At 44.1% G+C, this 27,604-nt stretch overlaps 2 protein-coding genes and 2 long non-coding RNA genes across 5 annotated transcripts in view, besides 4 other annotated features; 2 read left to right on the forward strand and 2 right to left on the reverse strand.

Annotated features, from left to right (window-relative positions):
* PRSS23-AS1 (PRSS23 antisense RNA 1) overlaps positions 1–365 on the reverse strand; it is a 50,139-nt gene extending 49,774 nt beyond the window's left edge. Inside the window, exon 1 of the long non-coding RNA NR_187135.1 lies at positions 280–365. This is a non-coding gene — a long non-coding RNA (PRSS23 antisense RNA 1). The remainder of the gene's footprint in view (positions 1–279) is intronic.
* Positions 1–14,790, forward strand: part of PRSS23 (serine protease 23) — a 161,840-nt gene extending 147,050 nt beyond the window's left edge. The window contains exons 3-5 of one of the 2 annotated variants that reach the window (NR_120591.3): positions 900–1,006; positions 12,236–12,379; positions 13,096–14,790. The gene's annotated coding sequence lies outside the window, so the exon portion shown is untranslated. The remainder of the gene's footprint in view (positions 1–899; positions 1,007–12,235; positions 12,380–13,095) is intronic. The other variant, NR_120592.2, reaches the window with a different exon arrangement.
* Positions 2,289–2,788: an enhancer, noted in NCBI's record as "H3K27ac hESC enhancer chr11:86651451-86651950 (GRCh37/hg19 assembly coordinates)". NCBI's record gives its function as "activates a minimal SCP1, AML or CMV promoter by ChIP-STARR-seq in naive H9 embryonic stem cells {active_cell/tissue: H9 hESC(naive)}" and the evidence as "EXISTENCE:reporter gene assay evidence [ECO:0000049][PMID:30033119]".
* FZD4 (frizzled class receptor 4) lies at positions 7,559–17,275 on the reverse strand. The gene is made up of 2 exons (NM_012193.4): positions 16,681–17,275; positions 7,559–14,350 (listed from the first exon to the last, which is right to left on the reverse strand). Exons 1-2 carry the CDS (start codon positions 16,963–16,965, stop codon positions 13,022–13,024), a joined length of 1,614 nt encoding a protein of 537 aa, NP_036325.2. The 5' UTR covers positions 16,966–17,275; the 3' UTR covers positions 7,559–13,021.
* Positions 16,953–17,002: a silencer, noted in NCBI's record as "silent region_3828". NCBI's record gives its function as "represses an Ori minimal core promoter by ATAC-STARR-seq in GM12878 lymphoblastoid cells {active_cell/tissue: GM12878}" and the evidence as "EXISTENCE:reporter gene assay evidence [ECO:0000049][PMID:35858748]".
* Positions 17,133–17,502: a silencer, noted in NCBI's record as "silent region_3829". NCBI's record gives its function as "represses an Ori minimal core promoter by ATAC-STARR-seq in GM12878 lymphoblastoid cells {active_cell/tissue: GM12878}" and the evidence as "EXISTENCE:reporter gene assay evidence [ECO:0000049][PMID:35858748]".
* FZD4-DT (FZD4 divergent transcript) overlaps positions 17,501–27,604 on the forward strand; it is a 45,330-nt gene continuing 35,226 nt past the window's right edge. Inside the window, exons 1-2 of the long non-coding RNA NR_038905.1 lie at positions 17,501–17,592; positions 19,862–19,906. This is a non-coding gene — a long non-coding RNA (FZD4 divergent transcript). The remainder of the gene's footprint in view (positions 17,593–19,861; positions 19,907–27,604) is intronic.
* Positions 17,853–18,002: a silencer, noted in NCBI's record as "silent region_3830". NCBI's record gives its function as "represses an Ori minimal core promoter by ATAC-STARR-seq in GM12878 lymphoblastoid cells {active_cell/tissue: GM12878}" and the evidence as "EXISTENCE:reporter gene assay evidence [ECO:0000049][PMID:35858748]".

The raw sequence follows: 27,604 nt of genomic DNA on the forward strand, positions 1-27,604 counted from the left end.
AAATGGCTGCTGCCAGGATGTCAGTGAACATTTGTCGAGCACCCGAACCAGCATTGGGCGCAAGAACAGCTCTTGCCCTTGAGAAGCTCAAACACATCTAGAGGAGAAACAAACAAGAACAATATAATGTAATATAACACATGCAATTACAGATGTTTGAACTAGGTTCAGAGGTGCCCTAAAGGAAGGTGCTACAGGCTCTGCTTGATTGGATCATGCGAGGCTCCCAGAAGAGGAAACGTGTATGCAGGGACTTGAAGAAGAAGAGGAAACACTTACTCAGGGACTTGAAGAATGAGCAGAAGGGCCACGGAGTGAAAGAGCCTCCTGGCTCAGGAGTCCAGCATGCAGGAGCAGAGAACACTGAAACAGCCTGAGAACAGGAGGAGCTGGAAGTGGCTGGGATTGGCTAGAGCATAGGGTGTGTCTGAGGAAGAGGAATGATGTGGCTGGAAGAGAGGGGAAGAGCCAGACCTGAGGGTCTTGGATATCACTCTGAGGGGTTTGGACATAAAGAAGAATATCAGCCGATGTGATGGATTAAGGAGCTCCTTCCTGGGGGTGGTGCAAGGAGGCCAGATAGTCATCTGTCCTGGATGGCCTTCCGAGGGGCTGGGGGTAGGGGTGGGGTGGGGCTGGAGTGAGGGCAGCCTCTCTGAGATCCCTATCACCTCTCTCTTTAAAAATCAGCCACTGCCAAACACTAGAGAACCTAAGAAGGCCCCTGTAAAGCAGAAACGACAGGCAGTCAGCCTAGAGTACACCTTTAAAAAGTCAGTAAGACATATACACCAGAAAAGGACCATGCTTCTCCATTAAAAGATAGCCAAATGGGAGGAGGCCTTCTCAAAAATATAGGGAAATTTCTCACTTGATGTATTGATGTTTTTCCTCTGCAGAGCTTCACATTTTTCATCCATTCTTAAAATTGAGCCAGTTTAGCCCTAGGAGGTGGGCAGGCTCTGAGGAATCATCAATCAAGAGAAGAGAACATCGCCAGAAACACGTAAGGGAAACGTTTCCATGTCACTACTTCTCAGGATTCCTGGGCATTAAGGGTACTTAAGAAGTGCTTGTAAGGAGTGTGTTTTCTCCCAAGCAAACACATAAACAAAAAATTCTAATTACAGGGACACTGCATTGAGTCTGTCCTAAAGTTGTTCTGCCTGTATTCACCACTAGGTGTCATTAGAGCCCTCTTTTAAAAGAAACAAAGCTTCAAAAAACACTGACCTCAGGAGAATAATTTTTCCAGTGTTCCTATTTCTCAGTTAAAAAAAAAAATATATATATATATATATATATATTTTTTAACATGAGTAAAAATTGCAAATGTTCAGGACTTAGCTCTTGAATGGCTACTAAAGATTATAATTCCTCAGACTACCTGCAAATATCATGAGTCTTACAGAATCACAATACATTTTTATTGAAATATCCATGGTAAATATACATCTTACAGGAAATTCCATTGCGTTTACACTATTTATTTAATAGAAATAATCTCTGGGATTATTTGCATTTATTTCTGAAGGAGGATGTTTTTCCTTCCTGAGAATAAGTTCAGGAAATGGGTGAAATGTTCAGGAAGTTAGCTAAATGCTGATGTAAATCCAAAAGGAAGGTCTGTTGTTGTTTCTTTCTTTTTTTTTTTTTAAAGGGGTGGGTGGGGGGGACACACAAAAATGCTAGGAAGTGGTTCTCTCATTCACTTATGGAAAAATGTTATACTGAATTTCTGATTTAAAAGGAAGAGGATTAGAAAAAAATGTGGGCCCATGATATGGTTTTCTGTAGATCTGGTTAGGCAATTCACAGTAGTTAGCAAAGAAAACTGTGTCAAGAAACAAAATCTACATGGGAGACATGACTTGGATTCAGTTTGTCCTAAATTAAACCTTTACTATGAAATTTGAATCGGCTACTCTAAGAAATAAGTCGTGTTAGAAAACTCTGAGTCCCGAAGAGCTGGTGGGGCCCCTTAGCACTACATAAACAACTAAATGCTACCCTCTCCTCCCAAGGACCCTGTCCCCTCCACTAACAGTGTCATGCTGACCCTCGGACTGCAAGGGGGAGTCTGAATGCAGTGAAACTCAAGATCTCCAGGGCTACTTGGTCAGTGTTGCAAGCTGCCGTGGCCTCTGGCGTTATTTATCTTTAGTTTGCAACGTAGGGGTGTGCTGTATCGGGTGTGCAGAGCAAACAGAAACTCCTTGCCTCTGAAACACTGGCATTTTAGAAAGCAAAGATTCGGCTCATTGACCAGAGCTACAGAGGACACAATTTGTTGTGGCTTCTCTGAAAATCACCCCCTCCTTTCCATCTCTCTGCTACCACCTTCATTCAGGCCTTCATGGTTTCTCATCCAAACCGGTCTTCCTGTCTCCTGCTTGCCTTCTTCCCAGCCCACAGTCCACACGGCAGACAGAGCAAGCTATGTAAAAACACCAACAGGGACATGAACCTTCCTTGCTTTCAAACTTTTGCCGACTCCCCTGTGCTGAGCGCAGGAGAGAATACGGCCTCCAAGGCCTTTCATAACTTGGCCTCAGCCCACCTTCCCTCCCACTCCAAGAATCTCAGGCTCCAGTTACACTGAGCCACTCACTGCCCTACACCTCCTGCAGGCAACTCTCTGCCAAGTTTATTCACACATTTATCCTTTTCACTCTGGATACATGAGGAGGACTGACCATGTACTGTACTTCTTTTAACTTCTATAGAGCAATCTCTTTGTATTTATACAATTATGACAACAGTAGTAAGAGAAGAAGGTTCAGAGGATACAAGGTAACACACCTACATAAACGACCTACTGGGTACAAATATTGTAAATCAACATAGGCCTAGAAAAGGTGGTCAGATGCTGAATTTTGACTAAATACCTCCGATGGCACATAATGAGTAAGTTTCAATTTTTATATTTTACATTCTGAATTCTGGGGGTGGTTTTGATGGGCAGACCAAGTTTTAAATGAGTTATGGTCTTTGGGATCCTCACTTCTCTCTTTTTCTTCTTCCCTCCACCTTCCCTACATATTTACATCAGCAGATGTGTCCTTTGAGGGGTCAAATGGTGAGACGACAGCAGTTTAGGAACTGTTTGCCCATTACACTGGGTACTCAGAAACTGTTCTATTCAAGCTAAACCACAAGACCTATGGACTTAGGAAGAAATTACATAGTAAGTGTGATAGGACTAGTAGCATTGATCCTTTGTGGGAAGGAGGGTAGAGGGAGGCACGTAGTGTGCTGCAGCGAACTTCTAGAGGGAAAGGTTATGTCTTATTTATCTGTGTCCCCTACGGTGCCTTCCCAGGACAGTGGCTGGCACACGATGGACCCTCATTTCAGCTATTCAACAAATATTTACTAAGCAGTAGAGGATTTGTTTTTCCACATTTAGAGTTTTAAGCTTGTTAATAGCAGCTGAATTCTTTCTCTGTTTTGTCATCTGCACTTTTGGACTCCAAGTTGGACTTCGTATTTCCTAGTTTTTAAAAATCACTCCCTTTCCCTTCCCTAGCCCATTCCAGTGTTCTATATACAGTAGACTTTCAGCAAATATTTAAAAGAGACAACTTACAATAGGCAACACAGTGGGGTAGTCGATCATTCCCTAACCTATCTTTGAGGCTGGAGAATTTTCTTGGGGGCTAGTGCCCTAGTATCTTCCCAGAAAGTCCTGCCAACCTGATGGCTCTTGTTGTCACCTTTGGTTTCCTTCCTATGGTGGCCATGTTTGTCATCAAAGCCCTTCAGTTTCTCCATCTAACAAGGTTAAAACCCTCCCTTCCTCCCCTCCTTCCTTACTCCATTTCTTCTTTCCTCCCTGCCTTCCTTCCTTATACATATATTTTGAAACTTGTGCCCTGTGCCAGGCAGTGTGCCAAGCTCTGACGGTACATAAATAGACAACTTTAGGTGCTCAAAGTCATGCTCAGGGAGCTCAGTTTAGTAAGAAATGGATGCATGCACAGATCATTGCAATCAGTGCAAGGAAGGCTCCCAGAGTTGAATGCACAGAGGCTTAAACCTACCTATCAATAAAAGGAAAGGGAAGCAGGAAGTGGCAAGCAGGAGGATCGGGGATGTCTTCCCAGGAAAGATGACCCAAGGCTTTAAAAAGGACAGACATAACCTAGTTGAAGAAAGATGGAAAGGACATTCCAGGCAAAAGGAAACAACGCATATGCAAAGGCAAAGGGGTGAGAGGAACATGATGAAACCAGGACAGGATTTTCTGTGACTTATCTATTCCATCTCATTGCTTTATATTCCACCCATTTACCTCATATCAAGTGGAATGATGCAACCCCAGGCATTTCAGGAAATTTACATAACCAATCATTTAATCTCTTAAAGAGAAAGGCATTGATAATGCAGGCTTTCCATGAGATTAAGCACGTTCTTGAGTGAAAATAGAATTGGGTGCTTATAGGAAACCAGGTGGAAAGCTGATGAAAATCAGGCAGTGGATGGAAAATGCAATACATTTGATTTTCTATTCTCTTTCCCTGGGAATTTGAGAAGTTGGAATCCTTTGCCATGAGGGTAAATAAATCTATGGGCCCTCTTAGCCTAAAGATGAAATGACTGAAGGAAAAAAACAGGGTAATTCTAAGAATTTCATGTGAGGCCAAGGTCCATTTTGAAACCCTTTTGAACTAAACTTTTGCAGGTCCAACACATCTTCAAGATATTTAGTGGGATCCTCCCAGTCCTACGGTACCAGCTTGCATTGTGAAGGAAAATGAAGGACAGAATAAAGCCCTTCTCCCAGTCTGGTTTATTTCTGTACACAGAACCTCTGAAAACAGGAGGCCAAGGCTGACCTCTTTAGTCAAGAGTCAGCTCAACTTTAAAATTATAATTGCATGTGAAAGCTAAAATGGGAAAGAGAAAAAATCAGTTCTCAGGACCGAAATGCTAAAAACCCTTGGGTCACATTCCAGTTAGGGTCCTGGCCGTGCACACAGAGCTCCCATTGGGGGAAGGTGGGCAAGAGACCAGCCAAGACCAATTCAAACTATAGGGTGTTGGGGATCATGGCATTTATTCTAGAAGTGTCCAGTTTACAGATAAAGGAATGTACTATAGTGATAATGCTATATAATCTTTTAAAAAATAGAAGCTTATGGTCAGATCTCATTATTGAGAAAGGTGCCAAAGAATCTACCCACTCCAAGTGAACTATTTGCAGTAAAGAAATCAGAGGAGGCTGGGTGCGGTGGCTTACGCCTGTAATCCCAGCACTTTGGGAGGCTGAGGCGGGAGGATCGCCTGAGGTCAGGAGTTCAAGACCAGCCTGGCCAACATGGTGAAACCCCATCTCCACAAACATACAAAAATTAGTCAGGCATGATGGCAGGTGCCTGTAATCCCAGCTACTCAGGAGGCTGAGGAAGGAGAATCACTTGAACCAGGGAGGCGGAGGTTGCAGTGAGCCGAGATCAAGTCATTGCACTCCAGCCTGGGTGACAGAGCAAGACTCCATCTCAAAAAAATAAAATAAAATAAAATAGAAAAAAAATAGAAATCAGAGGGATAGAGTCTGTATTAGTTTCCTTGGGCTGCTGTAACAAATTATCACAAACTGGGTGGCCAAAGGCAACAGGAATTTATTTATTATTTATTTGGGACAGAGTGTTGCTGCGATGCCCAGGCTGAAGTGCAATGGCACGATCTCGGCTCATTGCAACCTCTGCCTCCCAGGTTCAAGCGATTCTCCCATCTCAGCCTCCCAAGTAGCTGGGACTACAGGCGCGTGTCACACCTGACTAGTTTTTGTATTTTTAGTAGAGACGGGGTTTTACCATATTGGCCAGGCTGGTCTCAAACTCCTGACCTCATGTGATCTGCCTGCCTTGACCTCCCAAAGTGCTGGGATTACAGGTGTGAGCCACTGCGCCTCGCCCATAGGAATTTATTCTTACACAGTTCTGGAGGTTAGAAAGCAAAGATCAAGGTTGTGTTCTCCTGGAGGATCCAAGGAAGAATCTTCCCTGCCTCTCTCCTGGCTGGTGGTTTCCAGCAATCCTTGGTGTTTCTTGCTTGGCCTGTAGCTGCATAACTCCAATCTCTGTGTCGGCCTTCCCATGGCATTCTCCTCTCTGTGTCTGTGTCCAAATTTCCCAGTTTTTATAAGGATACTAGATATTAGATTAGAACCCACCCTAATCTAGTAAGTATGAACTCATTTTTAACTTGATTTAATCTGCAAAGACCCTATTTCCTAATAAGGTCACGTTCACAGGTATCTGGGGTTAAGATTAGAGGGACACCATGCAACCCACAGGAGTATAAAACAAAAACAAAAGAAAACCCTGTATAAAATAAAAATACAACCAAAACCCTGAGTTGGGCATGGGAAGACCTGCTGACCAACCTTCTCCAACCCCTTTGGGTTGCCCTCGCCCTCTCTACGTCTTGGCTTCTCCACTCTAAAGGAAGGTTGTCAGACCTGCCCTACTGACTTCAGAAATGCCAGGAGAATAAAATGAAATCATGTAAATGGAAGTATTTTCTATTCAGAAAATGTTTCTTTAAGTGCAAGGAATTAAGAATTCATTCCAGATTGTGTTGACTTTCCTTAACTTCGTAATTACTTAATGAATAGGTAATGGAAAGAGAAACACAGCCCAACCGGGAAAACCATTTAAATTACATACCTGCCTTCATTTAGGGTTTGAGATAAATGTCCGGTAGCAATCTGCAGATAAGGAGAGTAGTACTGCAGATCCTTGTTCAATGGGCTTTTTACTCACACCAAAACAGGGTGGTATTCAAGTGAAGCTAAAGGGTGGCAAGCAATTTAAAAGCAAACCAAGAGGCCTGATGTTCACATCTGGGACATCAGCAGACGGTGATGGCTCTCCTTCCCTCTGTATGTGAGGTCTATAATATTACTGACTCCCATAACAATATCCTGATAGTAGCTTTGAATTTGCTTTGTCCGATGACTTTTCTGGATATGGGGACACAGACCATCCAATTTATAAAATTAGCTAAAGAAGCCACTTTCCTGATTGACAAATGTGACATATGCCCATGTCTATTACACAAACAGAACCACTGGGTAGCCAGAAAAAAAAAAATCTGAAGAAAAAAAAAGCCCCCTTTCCCTTCCCTTTTTTAAGAGGCCAAAAGTTCTAGCAATGATGGGAAAACTCTTTTTTAGGCCATCAGATTAAGTCAATGGGGCTTGAAAGGCAAAGACAGCCATATGCACTGAAAATGCCAAAAAAAAAAAAAAGAGGTGTCATTGGGATAACAACTTGAGAACTATAGTTATATCCAAAGCATCATGTGACCTACTTGAGTGTTACTGATGACCATATTAGCAATCAATTCTGTTGACCTTAGACTGTGGGGGTTTGCTGACGCAGGAGAAATCCCACAGGGGAAAAAGAGCCCCAGCAAAAAAGAAAGAGGCCCTCAGAAAGCAGTTCCCAATCTGCCCTACAAACTGAATCCTCTATTTCTCACTGCTGGGTGTATATGCTTCCTAGTGGCTGTCATATACTTTCAGAAATATGCCAAGTCACACACAACCTAACAAACAAAACTTTATTTTCCTTTAATACAAAATTAAATAGCAAGGGGTTTTCTTTGTACAGTGATAAATTAGAAATTTACAGTACAGACATCGATGCAGACATACTTTTGTACATCCTTAAAAGCAGGGTCCATTTCCTTTGAAATTTAGCAATTCATTCAGGGCATGTGTAGCAGGAAGTTTGCCTGGTACCTCTTTGTCAAACATCTGAAAGTCCCCCAGATTGGCTTCAAGGTTCCTGGAGCTGTGGGGTGGCATGAGGACCCAAGAAAGGCCACAGAGCATCCAGCCCGACTGCTGCACAGAGCAGGGGAAGTCACATTTTATCTTTTTTTCAGATTACATCCGATATTTCATCTACCTTTCTTACAAAGAGCTCAAGGGGCCATCATTTTTTGACCTTTTCAAGCCTCACAACATCCCTGTGAGGTAGACAAAATTCAGAAACACCTCCATGCCTCACTGGGAGAGATCTAGAAAGCAGCTTACCCCTCCCAAAGCCCACAGCCAAGTCAGGGCCCCAGCCTATTAGTACAATTTGAAAACTTTCACAACCTCGGAGAGAAGATGGACCCAACCTTTGTGGCGCAGAGTGGCTCTTGCCCCTCTTTTCAGAAGCCTTCTAGGATGACAGTGGTCATGTACTGAATATTGTAGGAGAGCAAGGAGGTTTAAAAGCTTTGAGGACATGGCTCATATAGGACCCCAAAAAGGTCCTCTACAAATTGCCTGGGGAAATTCTGGGAATTGGCTGATGCAAAGAAGAAGAGAAAAAAGGTACATCAGAAACAGAAACATGCTACTATCAGGGCAACTGAGCTTGCCAAGGGGAAGAGGCATGTCGGGGGATCTGTAAGTCATTTGTCTCCTGGTACTGTCAAGTGTGTAATCACCGCACAAGTGCATGGCAAGAGACAGCAACAGAAAGCTCTATGTAGGCTAGAGTGAAATGAAATCTATTATGTGGGGCTCCAGTATCTGATCCTTGGTAGGAGCAAAATGCTCTCTAAGGAGTTTCCAAGATCTATGATCTAACCCTGGAGGAAAAGTGATAACCCAGGTCATTTGCCAGACATAATACAAACCCAGAAGGGAACTCTAAACTCAAATAAAATAAAGGAACCAATAGGATTTTCAGAGTCCAGTGACTCGACATGATTGACTGGAATAGCAACTCTCTCCAGTGTCCTCCATCACAGAACAAAATACAAGACGTAAACTGATTTTAAGAGGTTCCTTCCAGGCCAGGTGTGGTGGCTCACACTTGTAATCCCAGCACTTTGGGAGGCTGAGGCGGGCAGATCATGAGGTCAGGAGTTCGAGACCAGCCTGGCCAACACAGTGAAACCCCGTCTCTACTAAAAATACAGAAGTAGCTGGGCGTGGTAGCACGCACCTGTAGTCCCAGCTCCTCAGGAGGCTGTGGCAGGAGAATCACTTGAACCCAGGAGGCAGAGGTTGCAGTGAGCCAAGATCGTGCCATTGCGCCCCAGCCTGGGTGACAGAGCAAGACCCTGTCTCAAACAAACAAACAAACAAACAAACAAACAAACAACAAAAAAAAGGTTCCTTCCAAAGTCTGTGCTCAATGGCTCCCTTCCCTAACTGCAGCTGTGGTCACCTCACCAGAAATCAAATACTGCACCGACCTGGTGAAATCCCTGAGTCTATTCCTCTAGGGCTGAGACTGTTGAGCTCATCTTTGTGTCCTCAGGTCCCATCTTGGTTCTCAATACAATAAGCATTTAATTCAGTGACCATGAGGATGAGGGGAGCCAGAGAGTATAGAGCTAAAAGGTGCTGAACAGAATCTCAATTCAGTATCTAGACACACAAGCTTCCCGGAACCTGAGTTTGGAGAGTGCAGGTGAGACAGTGACCTGGGAGAGGAAAATCAGAAAGCATCTCTGAAATTAAAAAAATGTCACCCCTTCTCCAGTTTCAGGCCCAAGTAAGTTGCCAGTTCAGCAACAGTCTCAGAGATCAGGAAATGGGTCTCCATAAAGGAAAGAGGATATGAATCAACCAAGTAGCTCAAGCAGATGGTTCTGGCCAGCACCACTCTACCCCCATGTTCCCTTGCCCTGAGGTTTGGCCTATATGAAGCAGGAGAAAGGAATCTACCAGAAAGGAGGTTGGACAGAGGTGCCATTGCACCATGTTTAATCTCTGGAGGCCAAGGGATTTCTGAGGAAGCTACAATCATACCCATTTACTGTAGGTTTCAGAGAAAGAAAAACAACCCTCACCTTTTCTCTAGCAAGATGCTGTCCTCAAATATACCTATACAAGTCACATGGAATACCCCAAGCCCTGAATTGCCGGCAAAGCCAAAGCAGATGTGTGGGCCCATGTCCTTGTGGCCTACTCTCATAGTCTTCCTAAGGGATTTCTCCAGAGACTGTCACGAAGCAGAGCTGATGCTTTCTGTTAAAACCACCTGTAACTGACTTGGAAGGAATCCTGGGAAAGGGATGAGAGATGTGTTAAAAGTAGAGAGACCCAGGCTGGGTGTGGTGGCTCACACAGGAAGAGATTTATGGAATGGAGACAGTGAAACAGATGGGAATTCCAGAGGTCCCTGCTCCTTTCCCAGAGGAACAGTAAAGTTCAGCAGACCTGGGTGCGTCCCCATCCTAGATCAGTTAGAAGAACAGAGATTATCTATTTCAGGGCTTTACTACAGTCGGCACTCAATAAATAAAATAACTGATTTTTTTAACAAATACCGATTTAAGAAGTGATGGAGTTGATTGAAGGTCACTGGTAACTGACCCCTCAGCCACAAAGTTCTTTTCCTGAAACCATAAACACTCTCCATTGTCTGGAATGTGAAAGGAGAGGCCTATAACCCTGTAGCATTGCTAAGGCTACTAATCCAAATGGCCACTTCTGATCAAATACACTTTGCCCTGAAAAGGCAAGAGATTTGTGGAAAAGGCATGTCAAAACCCAAAGCATTGTCAAAACACTAGCTCCAGAACTCAAAACTCAGAAATCAGGTGCCCAGATTCACCCAAGTGCTCTTTTATTGTTATTATTTAGTCATTGACAAGTATCGATCACCTACTCCATGCCTGGCTTTCTGCTAGATGCTGCCTTGGTCACACAATCACTGACACATTATGAAGAAAACTGCATTACAAACCTCTATACTCTAACAGCAAGACCAGTCCCCTACCGCCTGGTCTTCCTTCCCCTGCCTGGGCCAGAGTCCCTGCACAACTCCCAAGACACCAGAGCAGAGCGTGAGTAAGGGCAGGCTCTGCCCCTGGGTGCGTGCTCCAGGGCCGTGGACAGTTATGGGAACTGTCTACAAGCAGCACAGGGAGTTCACATTTTACATTTCATAGGCAATGGAGTATCAGATGGAGTTAAAATGGTTCTTCTGGGGATCAATTCTCATGCTCCTGGAGCCTGACCTAGAGTCTAGCCAAGGTACTCAGACTGGGCACAGCAGCAGGGGCCACCTGTGCCCACTTAACTTCAGTCTCAAAAGCCAAGACTTTGCCTTCCAAAACATACAATCGACTTTACATGCATCTTGATGTCAGAGAGCTCAAGAACCACACAAAAACAAAAAGGAAAGAAGAAAGGGAAATGTCAAACTATGGGCATAAGGCTCAAACCAAATTTTTAAAAAAGAGGAAATGCTTACTTCCAGAATTTGACCACCTTTTTGGAATTTTGAGTCCCTGGAAATGTTTTTCCACAAAGTGTGATTGAAAAAAAAAAAAAGAAAAAAAAAAGCTTCCCTTCCTATTTTTTTAAGGCATGAATTAATAAATAAATGTCATTGCAAAGCAGTTGCTGAAGCAGACAGGTATGAGTTACAAGGAGAGCAACCTGTGACATAGTCAATTTGTCCCCAAGATCTCATGATTAGAACGCCTAAGGCAAGGTAAGAGAAAGGCCAGTTACAGTTTTAAGAGAAGTGCAATTTTCGAGAGGCTGCTGGGGGTACCCCCTTGTGAAGAACGTATGCATAAATTTTAAAAGCTTTGGATACCTCTGCTAAAGGCAATTAAGACCTGGGCTATTAGAGTTTGCAGTTCATTTCATATGGTCTACACTTTATTCCCTACTAACCAATCAGGCTTCTGGCTGGCATTCTGGAGATTCATTAAGCACCATATAAATACTCCAGGCCACACTGCCTCCAGTGAAATCTTACAAGGAGCCTTTGCCAATTACTAGGAAACAATTACGCACCAAGTAGTTGGATTAGCTGTCCTCAGTTCCCTTTATAAAACTGAAAAAGTCTCCATTGTCCTAAGTAGACCAGATTCTGATAACATTCTTATGCTTTAAAAAATAAAAAAATTTTTAAAGGCACTATCATTCTGAGAATGCAAGTTGAAGTTGACCATAGTTTTAAAGTCAGTTGAGTATACTATGTCATGGTCCAACAATGTGCTTTTAATTGTAATTGACACACAAAAATTACACAGCTAATCTGTGTGAATGCAAAGTTGCCAAGAAACTTAACATTTCAGCTCTTCCAGACTGGCGTCTGCATAGATGCAATCACACAAGTAAAATATATTAAGTCCCCACTGCTCAATGCAATAGGTCTCTGGGGTCCGTCAGGTAAGTCAACTTAGTAAATCTCATTTTCCTCTGAATTAAGTGATTGTCAGAAAGTGAATCACCCTTCCTTTTCCCCTCTTTAAGCATGCTGCAGTACAAAAATTCTATAAAAATACCTTTTTTGAGTCATTAACATAAAATGAAGAAAACAGCAGCAGCCAAGAAGAGAGATGTTGAAATTTAAGAGAGGAAGACAGAGAAGAAAAATCCACTGGATACCTTATGTGTGTGAGTACAGTACTTTTGTTTGTTCAAATAACTGTTTTATGACAAAGGCACTGAAAGATTCTAACACCACTTCTTGGGAGTGCAGTCCACAAAGTTCTAAACAGCAGACAGCGCACCACAGAAGATGTTTATGTTACATCAGCCAAACTATAAAACTCTTGTAACACTTTTCTGAACCCAGCGTTTCCAGTGTTTATAGATTGCTTTGCTATCTGAAAGACCCAGTTAGTATTTAAAATGGTAAAGGGTTAAAAAAGTTAATATTTCTCCCTGCTAGTTACCAACTCACAGCTCAAATCCCACCCTGCAGGGGAAAACAGTATCGCCCTGGACTTCCTGGAATCTAGGCAGGACCTCCACGCTCCAAGCTGCAACCTGCTAAAGTGATCAACGTTTTGATTTTTCACAGCTTTGAAAGCCTCTAACTGGCTTTTCCATTTTGGATCATTCCAAAGTCTGCAGCAAAATCATTGGTTTTTTGATGCTGGGGTCGGGGTGGGAGGCAGTGGGTTGACGGGGGTCACTTAATTGTTGCTAGTTTGTTCAAACTGAGATTCACTGCATAAAACTTTTAGTAGAATTTCCTCCAAAATGCTGGCATTCCCCCCTTCAAAATGAAGAAAGCATGGAGGCTGACTAGCCTTATACCACAGTCTCACTGCCTTTTCCAGGCTTCACCCAACCATTTCCTCTCTTCTCTCTCTTTACCTTTCCAGAATTCACCAATCTGTTGGAACACTTCTGCCACGTGTGAAGAGTTTTGGCAGACCAAATCCACATGCCTGAAGTGATGCCCACCAACAAAGACATAAAAATTTTCAACATTTCAACAGCCATGTTGGAATCATCTGCAGAATACCGAAAAAGTGCCCAGTTGGAGATTTCATAAAAATAACAGGCAATCACACACGTTGCAGGAACTGTGTACAGTACTGAGAACACCCCAATCTTGACCATCAGTCTTTCTAACTTGTCTGTCTTTGTCCCATCCTTTTGAAGATTTGACCGAATTTTGAACAAGGCCACCAAACCTGCAGCAATGAACAAAGTTCCAATGACCAAATAAGTAAAGAGGGGAGCCACCACGAACCCGGTGAGGGCATCGAGATTTTGGTTTCCAACATAGCACAAGCCAGTCAGTTCATCTGCATCCACCAGTCTCATAATCAAGATGACAATGGTTTTCACTGCGGGGATGGCCCAGGCTGCAATGTGGAAATAAGAGCTGTGCATTTCAATGGCTTCATGACCCCATTTGAGTCCTGCTGCCAAAAACCAAGTGAGTGTCAGAATAACCCACCAAATGGAGCTGGCCATTCCAAAAAAGTACATCAGCAAGAAAATTATTGCACATCCTGTGTTCTTAAGTCCTTCTTGGATGAGAACAGGTTCTGCTGCCTCTTCAAAATCACAGGATATCCTTTCCCGGCCTACAGTCAGCCTGACAATATAAGCAATGCTATAAATATTATAGCACATACTGAGAAATATGATGGGGCGCTCAGGGTAGGAAAACCTAGAAGAATCGATCAGGAAGGTCAGTACTGTGAAGGCAGTGGAGATGAAACACAGGCTGGCCCACACAGCCATCCAGATATCAGTGAACTCCTTGGCTGAGCGGCTGTATAAGCCAGCATCATAGCCACACTTGAGCACACAGTTCAGGCTCCTTTTCACCCAGATGTACTGATCAGAATTGGTTCCCACAGAGTGACACTCTTCCCCAGGCTGGATGGGGGTTTTGTGAGGTAAGGGCACCTCTTCATCACCTGGCCCTTCCATGCACATGTGGTTGTGGTCGTTCTGTGGTGGGAATTTGCTGCAGTTCAGACTCTCTGGCCAGGCAAATCCAAATTCCTTCAGGACGGGTTCACAGCGTCTCTTGACTGAAAGACACATGCCGCCGCATGGGCCAATGGGGATGTTGATCTTCTCTGTGCACATTGGCACATAAACAGAACAAAGGAAGAACTGGAAAAGTAACAAAATGAACACACACAAAAAAAACAATGACTTGGAAGTTTGACCAAATGCTCCCACAAAGCTGAGTTGAATGCTTCCAGGCAATCTAGGTATCTACTTTTAAACCAACCTATCGGGAGTCTGTCTGTTTACTCTGACCTCAAACAAGGGCGCCTGATAATCCATCACTTACATACTTTTCTTAGTTTGGCTTTAGTAATCCTTTCCAGAAGAATGTACATAAATAAATAAATAAAATAAATAGGGTCTGAAGAATTGCATAAGCCCTCTTTGCACAACACTTGAAATAAATCTTAAAAAACTGGCTTTCAATCTCCTTCCATTTTAGAAACTATTTGAAAAAGCTAAAGAAACTAATATGACTCATTTAGGTGGTTTATTTTTATCCCCGTTTCTTTATCATTTTAAAAATAAAAGTTAAAAAAAAATGTAGATCCTGTTAGTATTCTCTTCTCCCTAATTTATCCCTTAAAAATTTGTTTAAACTAGTCCCATACTGAAACAAAAAATGGCCCAAATGAGACACTGTTAGACTCAAGGATGGGATGCAGATTGAGGTCTCTGGTCACTAGGGATTTGTTTGGCCAGGTTTCCTCAATGAATAATAATGAAGCACAATAGGAAAATGTAAATGTTAAGTCGCTGAAACTGCAGTACCAGCAGGGGAGAGTCCAGTTGCTGTCCTCAATTCCTCCAGCATTGATAAACAGTCTGCTTGGCTCCTTACAGATGTTGTCTATGAAGTCTAGAGTTACAAGTAACTATTTTCCAGCATGTAAAGGGATCCAGTCTTGTCCTTCAAAACAGCTTGGCCGCTTTCCCCAGGATACATGTAATTAAAAATATATATCCCTGCAAAAGCTGTTTCTCCAACAAATTGCCACTGATGTCAGGATATGTGCTGTTTCCAAACTGAGAGCTGGAGGATCATTTCTTAAGCTTTTATAACCTAGTTCTAAAGTTCTGAAACTTCCAAAGGGATATTTTAGCAGCAACAGGTCTAATCCCCACCATCTTTCCAAAACCACAAACCAAGTTTTAAAATGACCTATGTAAAAACATGCACCTAGTAAGTAAGCTGTATGTCTGTTTATTATCTCTCAGAAGTTACAGCCAGAACCACAGATTTCTTTTCTTTTCTTTTTTTTTTTGATACGGAGTTTCGCTCCTGTGGCCCAGGCTAGAGTGCAATGGTGCAATCCCCGCTCACTGCAACCTCTGCCTCCTGGGTTCAAGCGATTCTCCTGCCTCAGCCTCCTGAGTAGCTGGGATTACAGGCGCACGCCACCACGCCCGGCTAATTTTTGTACTTTTAGTAGAGACAGGATTTCGCCATGTTGGTCAGGCTGGTCTCGAACTCCTAACCTCGTGAGCCACCTGCCTCGGCCTCCCAAAGTGCTGGGATTACAGGCGTGAGCCACTGCGCCCGGCCAGAAACCAGATTTCTGAAGCCTGGACAACTAACGTCTACTTTTTCCCACAACTTCTCTCTTTTCTAAATTTCTAAAAATCACCCAGCCTCACCAACCCAAACATAACCAATGTTAACACTTTAAAAATTTTCCTGTCAGTCTTTTATTATCCCAATAAATTTTTTATTTTGCAGGATTATAATCACCCTGTATATGCAAATTCTTATTACTGTGGAATAAACATTTTCTCTATCATTAGATATGCTTTACATTTTTTAATGACTGCAAAAAAATTTCTTCCAATATACCAACCACCTTCCTGCAGCTTCTTCTCACCCTCCAAGCATTAAACGTGCCTTCAACTGTGAGGATAAGAAAGAACTCAAGCCAACCCAACCACTCCTTCATGCATGACCTCTAAAACGCTGCGGGACGTCGTGAGAAGGGGCTATTCAGCAGAAAAAGGTGCAGTAGTGTTTCATTTAATAACACCCCAAAAATAGTGGGGAGAAGGAAGTTCGGTGAAGGATGGTCTCCTTATCACTCCCTCCAAGTCTTAGCTGCAGCTGGCTCCCTCCCACTCGCCCACCGAGCAGTGGCGGCCAGAATCCTTGGCAGAGATAACCCTCAGCTCCACTGGGGTTAGGGGTCTGGGCCAGACATGGGTGGGCAAGAGAGAAAAACGGAAGGGCGGGGTGTAAGAGTGGGTTCTTTCCCAGGCCAGATGACTTACACAACGTTTTGGCTTCCAGTCCCTGAGAAAGTGGGGGTGGGGATGGAAATCACTTTTCCAGGAGAGCTGTCTCCTTCGGGCTAGGATGATCAACTTGGCATGGGCTCTGCAAAGTTAGTTTGGAGCGTCCCTCCCCAAGGGGTCCCGCCAGGGGTGGGGGTGGGGGCGCCCACCTGCAGCTGGCTGGAGCAGCCGTACTGGATGAGCGGTGTGAAAGTTGTCAGCTGCAGCTCGGCGTCCGTCTGCAGCTCGTGCCCAACCAGGTTGGGCATCTTGGTCACGTTGTAGCCGAGGTTCTGGCACATGGAGATGCGGATGGGGTCGCAGCGCCGCTCTTCCTCGTCCCCGAAGCCCCGCGCCGGCCCCAGGAGCAGCAGCAACTGCAGGAGCAACCCCAGACTGAGACCGACGCCCCCGGGCGCCCCCGGGACGCTCGGCCCTGCGCCCCGCCAGGCCATGGCCAGCATCGGGGGTAGCAGCGGCAGCGGCTGGGGCTGCTCTGGCAGACACCCCCAGTTTGCACGGGGGCGCCGGCTGCCCGCGCTGCTCCCAGCTCCCGGGACGGGAGTGTGATGCGGCGACGAGGGGGCAGCGGCCGGCTCTCCAGCAGCTGCGCGCGACTGTGTGGGATTTTAGACGTCCCGGGCCGAGGCCGAGGGACAGGCTGCGAGGGTCATGGCTGCAGGCGGCGAGCCCACAAGCCGGCGCCGGCCGCGTCCGTTCGGCGTCTCCGCGAGGCCAGCCAGCAGCCAGCGCTGCGCAGCTCTCACCGCCGGAGCCCTGCGCGGCGCTGGAGGCTCGCGGCGCGGCGGCGGGGCGGGACGGACAGCGGGCCTCTCCAATGGCCGGGCGCGGTGGGCAGCTAGGGGCGAGGCGGCGGGGCGGGGCCGCTCTCCCGCAGGAGGAGTCAGGCCCCCGCCCTCCGGCCCCCTCCTCCGGCCGCCCCTCCCTCCCTCCCTCCCCTAGCGCCCCGCCCCGCCCGCCTCCCGGCTCTTGCTTTCCTCCCACCCGGATCTAGGCGCGCAGGGGCCAAGCAGGGACGCAGCCCAGTGGCTCCAGCCACGCCGTCCTGCCCCCTTCTGCAGGTGAGAAGTGCGCCCTGTTCCATCTGCCCCCTTTCCTTCCTGTCTCCTTTCAGCTGTAACCTAGGCCGGTGGCCACCTCCCCGTCAGGCAGAGAAACGTACACAAAGAATTGGGGATTTGGATTTACACCGATTGTGGCTTTCAGTCCCGGTTGTGTGACCTTGAGCAAATTGCTCAACCCCTCGGCGTCAGTCTCCTCTGTAAAGTCACTTGGGAGGATTAGAGATAAAGTGTAGAAGGCTTAGCATGGTGCCTGGTACTGCGTGAGTCCACAGCTATTTTCACTCCGGACCAGCGGCGATCGGGGCCCGGCCTCTCCCCGCCCCCAGACTCGCCCGACCTGCGCAGGGAGCCGCCCACCTCCAGCCGCCAGCGGGGAGGCGCCCCAGAGCTGCGGAGCTGCAGACCCGCCGACGGTCTCGCGCTCTGATTTCCTCACCGTATGAAATGAAATTCCACAGGGGGATTCGAAAGGAAATGAGACCGGGACTCTCCGTGCTTCTCGGCCCGCCGCCCTTCCTGTCTCGGGGACACGGTTTCTAAATAAGGTTGGGAGGGTGAGAGGGCGGGAGGGGAGAGGCTTGACCTGTGCACTGGGGACGAGGAAGGCGCACAACCACCGTGACTCCTCTCTCCCGGCCTCCCGGGCACCCCCTCCCCACCAGGCTGCACCCCTTTTTTTCTTTGCTTCTGCTTCGGCTCCTAGGGATCTGGGGATCATGTGACCCAGGTTTGAACCCAACTTTCCTGTCTCATTACCAGCCCCCCGCGGCTTTGTGCTGGTCCACCCTCTCTCTGCTTTCCAGTCGGCCAGTAAACTCCCAGCAGGTGGATTCCTCCACCGTTTACTTGTTGCTTGACTGTGTTGAAGCTATGGTGCCTCTCTGAGCCTCAAAGTGGCCGGCTGTAAAGTGGGGAAGTTCATATCCACCTCACACAGTTGTTCTAAGAGTTCAGTGAGATAATACCTGTAAATCATTTAGCAGTGTCTGACACATAATAAATGCTGAAGAACTTGGTGATTGGGGTGTGTGTGTGTGTGTGTGTGTGTGTGTGTGTGTGTGTATGTGTTTCCAAAACAGCTAGGGGAGATCAATTATGGGACAGCCTCCTGCTTTCCAGCCTGGTGCTAAAGACAGCTCCAGCAGCCCCGGAATGAGGATCTGGGTAAAAGGCTTTTCACCCTCTTCCTGAGATCTTTTTGTCCAACACTTGCCACTGTTTTATGCATGTTTTTATCCTCCCATTTCAGCCAATTCTGTGGCATATGGCAGAGGCTAGATGCAAGTTGGAAGAATGTCTGTGCCACTCATGTGACACTCATATTCTGTCTTGTATTTTTAGTCTTCTTATATTGGCAACGAGACTTGACTGAGGGCAAAAATGGAATCAACTTTTTTTTGGTATTTGGCTCTGTGCCTAGAACTGTGTTGGACACGGAGAAGCTGCATTGTCTCCAGTCATCATCATAAACTCCCAGTGAAGGAGGTTCCGTTAGCTCCTTATAGAGATTAGGAAACTGAGGCTAGAACCACAGTAATAGAAAATGACAAGACCAACCAAACCAGGGCCCAGAAGAGGCTCTTCAAAGATGGAAGGCAGGGCTATTTTCCCAGAAAAAATTCCCAGCTGGAAATCAATGTACTCAGCAATAGGATTGAATCTCTGTGTGCCTGTGCTGAGTAATGCATAAAACCCTTGGCCTACAGAGATGAATAAACGATCAGATGTAGAGATCAAATGATCTATTAATCATTTGGGTTACAGAGATGAATATATAATCAGATGAACAGATCAAATGAATAGATAATCCTCATCCTTTAGGATCTCACAGGAGGAGACAAAGGATTAACAAACAACAATAACTTAGTTTGCTAAGTGCACAGATAGAGAATTGTGGGTGAATTGAAGGTAGAAGTGGCTGAGTCTGGAGGGCTACTCAAAGGGGGATGACCTGCAAGACTCGTAGCTACTCAACAAAGTGTAGTTAGTATGCAATTGGCCCTTCTTCTAGGGAAGAGTGGTGGTGGTGGGGTGTGCTTTGTGCTGAAGATATGGTTACATGGTTTATTAAACAGTGAACTCCCTGAGGTCAAGGAGGAGGACCTGTCCCTCATACAGGGCCTGGCACACAAGGAACATCATTTGTTCTGGGTGAAGGAATACTGTTTTCAAATCAATAACAAACCACTCATATAGAACTCTTACTTTCAGACACTGTGTTACATGCCTTACATTCTTAATTTTATTTATTTCTCACAACTTGCAGAAACTGATGCTCTGAGAGGCCAAGCAGTTTGCCCAAGATTACACAGTAAGTCGTAGAGAAGAACTCATGCATGTCTGCCTGGCCCTAAACTCTGTGTGCATGGTACTGCTCTTGCAGAGGAAACTGCTTCACGCCCAGCCTAATCCATAGTTAAAGATGACCATTTTGTGATCTGGACCTCTTATTCCTAGACCTGGCATCCTGCCTCAGCTTGCTTGAAGCAATTGTCTCCTTTGAGAACACATGAAGAAGCCCCTTCCCTATCAGAAGCTTTTTCTGTCAACAGCTTTTCTTTCTAGTCGTGGAACTCATCACCAGTATTTTCCAAAAAAGAAAGCTAGGGGAATCACATTTCAGTCTGAATGTGGAAAGACAACAAAGACCATAACTTAGAGCTAAATCTGAATGGCCTGGAGCCCCTCAGCCTCCCTCTCCTGGAGTGGTTTACACAGTCCACAATCTGCCCCTGGTGACAGGCATGGCATGTTTGTCTTTGTTACAGAAAACACTTCCCGAGGGAGTCCCAGGCAGAGGGATATCCACCCTGTGACATGCACAGCATTTCTGAGAGGAAAAGATAGGGACACCTGAATAAAGTGTAGGCCATGGGCCCCTGCTAACTCTGGCTTGAGTGCCTGGGCAGTTTCCTTGGTCCAGCCTCTGAGCAGTAAAGATTCAACTACTTTGGAGCTGCAACAAACATGACTTCAACAGTCTGTTGGGCAGTTGGAGGGCTCTCCATTTGTATCTAATAAGAGGCTGGGTTCTTATTAACTCCGGTGATGTGTTAATTTTTCAACCTGACGTTTTCTGCTCTAATAGATTCTTGTAATGCTTACTAAATTAAAGGCTGCATTGGAAGAGTAATGTTTAGGTTAAAATGCATCACCTAAGGGGGTGGAAGCTATAAACATCCTTTCCCTCCTACGGGAAAATCTCTCATTTGCGGCTCTTTGCTAACCCAATTAAGTGCTGAAGTAGTTACCCTAGAGCCTGCTTTTTATTTCCTATGAAACAATCCAACTAATCCATATTCAGTAGCTTCCAAGAAAAGTCTTATTCCAACCACTCATGAAGAAACCAGCTTCTTTGAATCTAGATAGAACATTTAGAACTCACAAAGAGCTGTCTTGATGGAAAGTGCAAGAAAGTGGTTCATTATTATCTGCCTGGTTTTTGAGGGAAATAATTCACTGGGACTAAAACCCCATAAGTATTGGGAATTTACTGTGGAACAACAAAAGCAAAGCAAGAAGATGCCATGCCACATTCCATCCATTTATAAATAGGGTGTTACATCTCCCCCTGCACCCAAACTAGTTATAAAACAAAAGTGCGCCTGCTGAGTAAGGTGGAAGGGAACACTGATCTTACTTCGAGCTGAGGAATCAAAGTTCCCAAGAGATTAATACCTATTAAGTGGCAGAGCCAAACTCCCTTCTTAGTCCATTGCACCACTAGCTAGCAGAGAAGAATTGTCACCACAGAGCTCTTGCATGTCAAGAAATAGAAGCTCAAAATTTTTCCTACCCATAAGTTTAGCAAGCATTAAATGGTACATCAGACATCCTTATTTATTGGTGGTGATGAGTTAACGCAAAGATGAACAACCAAAAACCTCCATGGAAGGCAAAAAATAATGCAAACACACTTTTACCTCCATAGCCTCGTTTCGTTTCAGTGAAATTGATCAGTCAAGCTGTTAACAAATATTTAGTGATGGGTTATTGTGGACATGTCATTGAGCTGGGTACTAGGGAGTATGCAGACATGTTAAAGGTGGTTTCTGCCTTCAAGGAGCTTACAGTCACATTGGGGAAGATTAAGACATGAGACCAAGGGCAAAACAAGTTTTTTATGGTTAAGTGCATTTTGTTGAGCTTTCTTATTTCCAGTCTCCCCTTGTTGTTTTACATAAGGTTCTGTATTATAAAGTTATTGGGCTGTTTTGCTTTTGTCTCTTTCACTCTCCTCTGAAGTCAGAGGCTGTGTCTTTTTCACTACCATGCTCTTAAACAACATAGAACAATATTACCTGAGCCATAGAAGGCACTCAGTAGTTATTTGTTTAATACATAAATGAATGGTTCTGCCTATAAGTGATCTGATTATTCAGAAAAAGAAAGCCTGCATTATGAGCCGGGTATAGGCAACCGCCAAAACACTACCTAAGTGGTTCCAGAATGATGGTTAAGTCAAGATTATAAACCGCTCCTCCAAGTCAGGCATGGTTCACACTTTCAGCTTTCTTCTCAAGTCAGATGTTTTGCCAATTATTTATCTTCCTTTTTGTTTGACTGTGTCTATTCTTAAATCTTTTACAGTAGACAAATATCTTTTTTTTTTCTTTGAGATAGGGTCTCACTCTGTCGCTCAGGCTGGAGTGCAGTGGTATGATCTTGGCTCACAACCTCTGCTTTCAGGGCTCAAGGGAGCCTCCAGCCTCAGCCTTCTGAGTAGCTGGGACCACAGGTGCGAGCCAACATGCTGTGCTAATTTTTATATTTTTTTGTAGAGACAGGTTTTGCCATATTGCCCAGGCTGGTCTTAAACCCTTGAGCTCAAAATAATCCACCCACCTTGGCTTCCCAAGTGCTGGGATTATAGGCACGAGCCACTGTGTCTGGCCTAAAAAAATAACCTTGACAGAAATTGTTTTTCAATTCAGAAGCAAATGTGTTAATGTGTTTCTCTATTTCATGAATCGGCCTAAGACTGTTTTTTTTTTTTTTTTCCTGTGAGACGGAGTCTCACTCTGTCACCCGGGCTGGAGTGCAGTGGCGCAATCTTGGCTCACTGCAACCTCCGCCTCCCAGGTTCACGCCATTCTCCTGCCTCAGCCTCCCAAGTAGCTGGGACTACGGGTGCCCACCACCATGCCCGGCTACTTTGTTATATTTTTAGTAGAGACGGGGTTTCACCGTGTTAGCCAGGATGGAGCCTAAGATATTTTTTAGATCACTGTTTACTACTATAGTTAGTCGACCACTCATCTCATTATTGTCAACTGAAGCCATTAGGAACATATATGCCATGAGACGGTTGGTAAAAGCCGGGGTCTGAAGCCAAAGCATTTTAAGTCAAGGGATTACATGTGATTGGTAAGTTTGTACAAAAATTAGAATGTAAGCTTAGCTTTGAAGGATGGGTAATTTTCAAAGAGACTTTGGGAAGCATGGAAAGGAAGGCACTTTTTAATATTCTCAGACAGCACTCTGATTAATTAATGGAGATGAGAAATGAATATGAATGAAAATGATGCTAAATAATGACCAAAGGGTGAACTAGCTACCACATATTGTGTATAAGCATGAACTAGATGAGATAAAGTCCCAGATGGTGGTTTTAAAACATGGCCTCAAATTCTTTGATGCTTCTCCTGTTGAAGGACGGAATTTATGTTCTCTCCCCTTGAATCAGGGAGGGTTTGTAACTTCTTCAACCGACCGAGTATGCTGTAAGTGCTACTACGTGACCTCCAAAGCTACATCATGAAAGGTCATGCAATTTCTACTTTGTTTGCCGGAAAACTCACTTTGGAGCTCTGAGCGGCCTTGTAAATAGTTCAGCTACTCTAAGACTGCAAGGAGAGGCTACGTGCAGGTTCTTCATTAGTCCCAGATGAGCCTGTCCTTCAGCCATCCCAAGCCAGGGGCCCAAAATGTGAGGAAAGAAGCCATCTTGAAAGTGGATTCTCTGGCTCCCCCATTCCTAACCTCTACTGTTGGAGTCATCCCAACATCCTTGCTGTGCCTTTTCAAATTCCTAACACATAAAATCCGTGATGGTCATTGTTTTATTCCTATAGGTTTAGGTTGGTTTGTTGTTTAGCAACAAATAACCAGGACACAATTAAATAACAAGATATCAAAGGAGAGAGTGACTCAGCTAGGAAAAGAATGATTATCACCCAAAGATGAATAAAGGGACTTTATAGTCACTCTCAGGGAGAGGGATAGCATATTTTTAGTTGCATGAGGGACAATTGTGTATTGTGAAGGGAAAGCATTATTTTGCTCTTTATTTGGAAGTTAAGTGTGGTTAAAAGAAGTGCGTATGCATCCCAGGCTGACAAGGAGTAGATTCTACTAGTTTCGTATTATGTTAATCTAGCTAAGCTGAAACGAACTTTCCCAGAATCTCCTTCCTACATGGTTCCAGATTAGGGTAAGCTACAAGAAAAATTAACGCAAGATTGGGGAGGTAGATGTGAAGCAGCATTTTTATGCTCTGAAAGTCAGTGCTGGGTACCAGGCACCATGGTGGCTCATGTGCATTGTTACTGATCTGCTGGCTCACCTGTTGGCATGGGGTAACACCCGGGCCTGCAGTTCCTCCACCTCCTGATGATCTCCTTTATTTGCTCGGAGTCCTGGGCCAGGTGCTTGAGTAGTTATGTTGCTAAGGACTCCAGCTTCTGCAGGTCACCTGCATTATCAAGCTTAGAGGTGGTTAAAGACAGACATGGGATCTAGTTTGTCCCTGTGGGTTCCACTTTGCCCCTGATTTCCCAAACTTCACACCTAGCTTTCCTTTTTTTAAAGGAGTAGTGCTGCAGTAAACATACATGTGCAGGTACCTTTATGGTAGAATGATTTATAGTCCTTTGGGTATTTATCCAGTAATGGGATTGCTGGGTCAAATGGTATTTCTTGTTCTAGATCCTTGAGGAATCGCCACACGGTCTTCCACAATGGTTGAACTAGTTTACACTCCAACAACAGTGTAAAAGTGTTCCTGTTTTTCCACATTGTCTCCAGCGTCTGTTGTTTCCTGACTTTTTAATGATCCCCATTCTAACTGGTGTGAGATGGTGTCTAATTGTGGTTTTGATTTGCGTTTCTCTGATGACCGCTGATGATGAGCATTTTTTCATATGTCTGTTGACTGCATAAATGTCTTCTTTTGAGAAGTGTCTGTTCATATCCTTTGCCCACTTTTTGATGGGGTTGTTTTTTCTTCTAAATTTGTTTAAGTTCTTTGTAGATTCTGGATATTAGCCCTTTGTCAGATGGATAGATTGTGAAAATTTTCTCCCATTCTGTAGGTTGCCTGTTCACTCTGATGATAGTTTCTTTTGCTGTGCAAAAGCTCTGTAGTTTAATTAGATCCCATTGTGTATTTTGGCTTTTGTTGCCATTGCTTTTGGTGTTTTAGTCATGAAGTCTTTGCCCATGCCTATATCCTAAATGGTATTGCCTAGGTTTTCTTCTAGGGATTTTATGGTTTTAGGTCTTAACATTTAAGTCTTTAATCCATCTTGAGTTAATTTTTGTATACGGTGTAAGGAAGGGATCCAGTTTCACCTTTCTACATATGGCTAGCCAGTTTTCCCAGCACCATTTATTAAATAGGGAATGCTTTCCTCATTGCTTTTTTTTGTCAGGTTTTTCAAAGACCAGATGGATGTAGATGTGTGGTGCCATTTCTGAGGGCTCTGTTCTGTTCCATTTGTCTGTATGTCTGTTTTGGTACCAGTACCATGCTGTGTTGGTTACTGTAGCCTTGTAGTATAGTTTGAAGTGAGGTAGCATGATGCCTCCAGCTTTGTTCTTTTTGCTTAGGATTGTCTTGGTTATGTGGGTTCTTTTTTGGTTCCATATGAAATTTAAAGTAGTTTTTTCCAATTCTGTGAAGAATGTCAGTGGTAGCTTGATGGGGATGGCATTGAATCTACAAATTACCTTGGGCAGTATGGCCATTTTCACAATATTGATTCTTCCTATCCATGAGCATGGAATATTCTTCCATTTGTTTGTGTCCTTTTTTATTTCGTTGAGCAGTGGTTTTAGTAGTTCTCCTTGAAGAGGTCCTTCATATGCTGTGTAGGTTGGATTCCTAGGTATTTTATTCTCTTCGTAGTAATTGTGAATGAGAGTTCACTCATGATGTGGCTGTTTGTGTGTTCTTGGTGTATAGGAATGCTTGTGATTTTTGCATATTGATTTTGTATCCTGAGACTTTGCTGAAGTTGCTTGTCAGCTTAAGGAGATTTTGGGCTGCGACAGTGGGGTTTTCTAAATATACAATCATGTCATCTGCAAACAGAGACAATTTGACTTCCTGTTTTCCTAATTGAATATCCTGTATTTCTTTCTCTTGCCTGACTGCCCTGGCCAGAAGTTCCAATACCATGTTGAATAGGAGTGATGAGAGAGGGCATCCTTGTCTTGTGCCGGTTTTCAAAGGGAATGCTTCTAGTTTTTGCCCATTCAGTATGATATTGGCTGTCGGTTTGTCATAAATAGCTCTTATTATTTTGAGATACATTCCATCAACACCTAGTTTATTGAGGGTTTTTAGCATGAAAGGCTGTTGAATTTTGTCGAAGGCCTTTTCTGCATCTATTGAGATAATCATGTGGTTTTTGTCACTGGTTCTGTTTATGTGATGGATTACATTTATTGATTTGCATATGTTGAACCAGCCTTGCATCCCAGGGATGAAGCCCACTTGATCGTGGTGGATAAGCTTTTTGATGTGCTGCTGGATTCGGTTTGCCAGTATTTTATTGAGGGTTTTCACAATGATATTCATCAGGGATATCGGTCTAAAATTTTCTTTTTTTGTTGTGTGTCTGCCAGGCTTTGGTGTCAGGATGATGCTGGCCTCATAAAATGAGTTAGGGAGGATTCCCTCTTTTTCTATTGATTGGAATAGTTTCAGAAGGAATGGTACTAGCTCCTCTTTATACCTCTGGTAGAATTCAGCTGTGAATCTGTCTGTTCCTGGACTTTTTTTTGGTTGGTAGGCTATTAATTATTGCCTCAATTTCAGAACCTGTTACTGGTCTATTCAGAGATTCAACTTCTTCCTGGTTTAGTCTTGGGAGGGTGTACGTGTCCAGGAATTTATCCATTTCTTCTAGATTTTCTAGTTTATTTGCATAGAGGTGTTGATAGTATTCTCTAATGGTAGTGTGTATTTCTGTGGGATCAGTGGTGATATCCCCTTTATCATTTTTTATTGCGTCTATTTGATTCTGCTCTCTTTTCTTCTTTATTAGTCTAGCTAGTAGTCTATTTTGTTGATCTTTTCAAAAAACCAGCTCCTGGATTCATTGATTTTTTGAAGGGTTTTTTGTGTCTCTATCTCCTGCAGTTCTGCTCTGAGCCTAGTTATTTCTTGCCTTCTGCTAGCTTTTGAATTTGTTTGCTCTTGCTTCTCTTGTTCTTTAAATTGTGATGTTAGGGTGTCGATTTTAGATCTTTCCTTCTTTCTCTTGTGGGCATTTAGTGCTATAAATTTCCCTCTACACACTGCTTTAAATGTGTCCCAGAGATTCTGGTACATTGTGTCTTTGTTATCATTGGTTTCAAAGAACATCTTTATTTCTGCCTTCATTTCGTTATTTACCCAGTAGTTATTCAGGAGCAGGTTGTTCAGTTTCCATGTAGTTGTGTGGTTTTTAGTGAGTTTCTTAATCCTGAGTTCTAATTTGATTGCACTGTGGTCTGAGAGACAGTTTGTTGTGATTTCTGTTCTTTTACATTCGCTGAGGAGTGTTTTACTTCCAATTATATAGTCAATTTTGGAATAAGTGTCATGTGGTGCTGAGAAGAATGTATATTCTGTTGATTTGGGGTGAAGAGTTCTGTAGATGTCTATTAGGTCCACTTGGTCCAGAGCTGAGTTCAAGTTCTGAATATCCTTGTTAATTTTCTGTCTCATTGATCTGTCTGATGTTGACAGTGGGGTGTTAAAGTCTCCCATTATTATTGTGTGGGAGTCTAAGTCTCTTTG

The sequence above is a fragment of the Homo sapiens genome, chromosome 11 (genome assembly GCF_000001405.40).
Source record: "Homo sapiens chromosome 11, GRCh38.p14 Primary Assembly".
In the NCBI taxonomy this organism is placed as follows: domain Eukaryota; kingdom Metazoa; phylum Chordata; class Mammalia; order Primates; family Hominidae; genus Homo; species Homo sapiens.